Consider the following 2,583-nt stretch of genomic DNA (forward strand, 5'->3'; position numbering starts at 1 on the left):
GTGTGTGCTTCACCTGGCTGGCCAGACCACTGCATGAATCCCATGAAACAGTGAGAGGTACAATCCATTTCCTAGTCAATGACCTAATCCAGACTGTTGATGGCCTATCTGGAAATCTAAACCGAGGTTAAACAGGGCTAATCTTGGTAAGGGGAAAAGCTTTCTACCTATGCTTCCAATCAAGAGGCAATAAAATAAAAGCTTCACAGAGTTGGATACTAAAAGTTTAAAAAATTGTTTAGGGTATGTTTGTTATGTAAAGTCAACTGACAAACTGGGAGAAAATATTCACAAAATATACCATGGACAAAGGACTAATATTGCTCATATATGAAGACCTCTTTGAATTTGTGGGCAAAGGTCTAGAATCCAATAGGAAAAAAAAAAGGGAAAGAAAAACCATGGACAATTCAGGCACATACAGTTCTAACACTGACCCTCGAACAAATTTTTAAAATGTTCAAACTCACCTATAATTAGAAAAATTCAAGTTAAAACATTCTTAGGCACCATTTCTCACTTATCAGACTGACAAAACTTTCTAATTATGACAACATATCCTTTTGGTCAGGCTGTGGGGAAAGAGGCCTCCTTGTACATTTCTGGTGGGAGTACAAATTCGTACAACCCACCTGGAGAGAAATTTGGCAATTCCTATTAAAGCAACATAGACATTTACCTTTCTACCCAGCAATCCCACTTCTAGAAAGCTACCTTAAAGACAGATACTTTCAACAATCTGAAAGTACATATGCATGAGATCATTTATTGCAGCATGTTTCGTAATTACAAAATATTGGGAACAACCTAAATGTTTATACACAAAAGAGTAGCTGGATAAACCACGGTACATCCATACAGTGGAGTACTATGCAGCTATTTTTTTTAAAGATCTCTATATACAGAATGATTTCCAGGACATACTGTCAAGTAGAAAAAAGCAAAAAGCAAAAATGTACCCATAACATGTTACCCATCATACAAAAAAAAAGAGAGAGAGAGAGAAGGTATAATTTTTGCTGTAACTACTGAGAGGTGACAGCCTGCTGGCAGTCCTCACAGCCCTCGTTCGCTCTGGCGCCTCCTCTGCCTGGGCTCCCACTTGGCGGCACTTGAAGAGCCCTTTAGCCCACCGCTGCACTGTGGGAGCCCCTTTCTGGGCTGGCCAAAGCCGGCTCCCTCAGCTTGCGGGGAGGTGTGGAGGGAGAGGCGTGGGCGGGAACTGGGGCTGTGCGCGGTGCTTGCGGGCCAACGCGAGTTCCGGGTGGGTGTGGGCTCAGCGGACCCTGGACTCGGAGCTGCGGGGAGGCCCCACCGGCCCGGGCAGTGAGGGGCTTAGCACCTGGGCCAGTAGCTGCTGTGCTCAATTTCTCGCCGGGCCTTAGCTGCCTTCCCGTGGGGCAGGGCTCGGGACCTGCAGCCCGCCATGCCTGAGCGTCCCCATGGCTCCGTGGGCTCCTGTGCGGCTGAAGCCTCCCAGACGAACACCGCCCCCTGCTCCACCGTGCCCAGTCCCATCGACCACCCAAGGGCTGAGGAGTGTGGGCGCACAGCGCAGGACTGGCAGGCAGCTCCACCTGCAGCCCCAGTGCGGGATCCACTGGGTGAGGCCAGCTGGGCTCCTGAGTCTGGTGGGGAGGTGGAGAACCTTTGTGTCTAGCTCAGGGATTGTAAATACACCAATCGGCACTCTGTATCTAGCTCAAGGTTTGTAAACACACCAATCAGCACCCTGTGTCTAGCTCAGGGTTTGTGAATGCGCCAATTGACACTCTGTATCTAGCTACTCTGGAGGGAACTTGGAGAACCTTTGTGTCCACACCCTGTATCTAGCTAATCTGGTGGGGAGGTTGAAAACCTTTGTGTCTAGCTCAGGGATTGTAAACGCACCAATCAGCGCCCTGTCAAAACAGACCACTGGGCTCTACCAATCAGCAGGATGTGGGTGGGGCCAGATAAGAGAATAAAAGCAGGCTGCCCAAGCCAGCAGTGGCAACACTCAGGTCCCCTTCCACGGTGTGGAAGCTTTGTTCTTTCTCTCTTTGGAATAAATCTTGCTGCTGCCCACTCTTTGGGTCCACATTGCCTTTATGAGCTGTAACACTCACCACGAAGGTCTGCAGCTTCACTCCTGAAGCCAGCAAGACCACGAACCCACTGGGAGGAACAAACAACTCCAGACATGCCGCCTTAAGAGCTGTAACACTCACTGCGAAGGTCCGCAGCTTCACTCCTGAGCCGGCGAGACCACGAACCCACCAGAAGGAAGAAACTCCGAACACATCTGAACATCAGAAGGAACAAACTCCGGACACACCACCTTTAAGAACTGTTAACACTCACTGTGATGGTCCACGGCTTCATTCTTGAAGTCAGTGAGACCAAGAACCCACCAATTCCGGACACACTCCTATAACAAAATATTGCAAACTGGGTGGTTTAAACCAGCAGTCCCCAACCTTTATGACACAAGGGACCAGTTTTGTGGAAGACCACTTTTCCACAGACTGGGGGCAAGGAAGATGGTTTCAGGATGATTCAAGCGCATTACATTTATTGTGTATTTTATTTCTATTATTATTA

General features: G+C 48.4%; 1 annotated feature.

Moving 5' to 3' along the window:
- Positions 1,724-1,924: a silencer, noted in NCBI's record as "peak1117 fragment used in MPRA reporter construct". NCBI's record gives its function as "represses an SCP1 promoter by STARR-seq MPRAs in K562 erythroleukemia cells {active_cell/tissue: K562}" and the evidence as "EXISTENCE:reporter gene assay evidence [ECO:0000049][PMID:32103011]".

This window comes from Homo sapiens, chromosome 10 (genome assembly GCF_000001405.40).
Source record: "Homo sapiens chromosome 10, GRCh38.p14 Primary Assembly".
Lineage (NCBI taxonomy): Eukaryota > Metazoa > Chordata > Mammalia > Primates > Hominidae > Homo > Homo sapiens.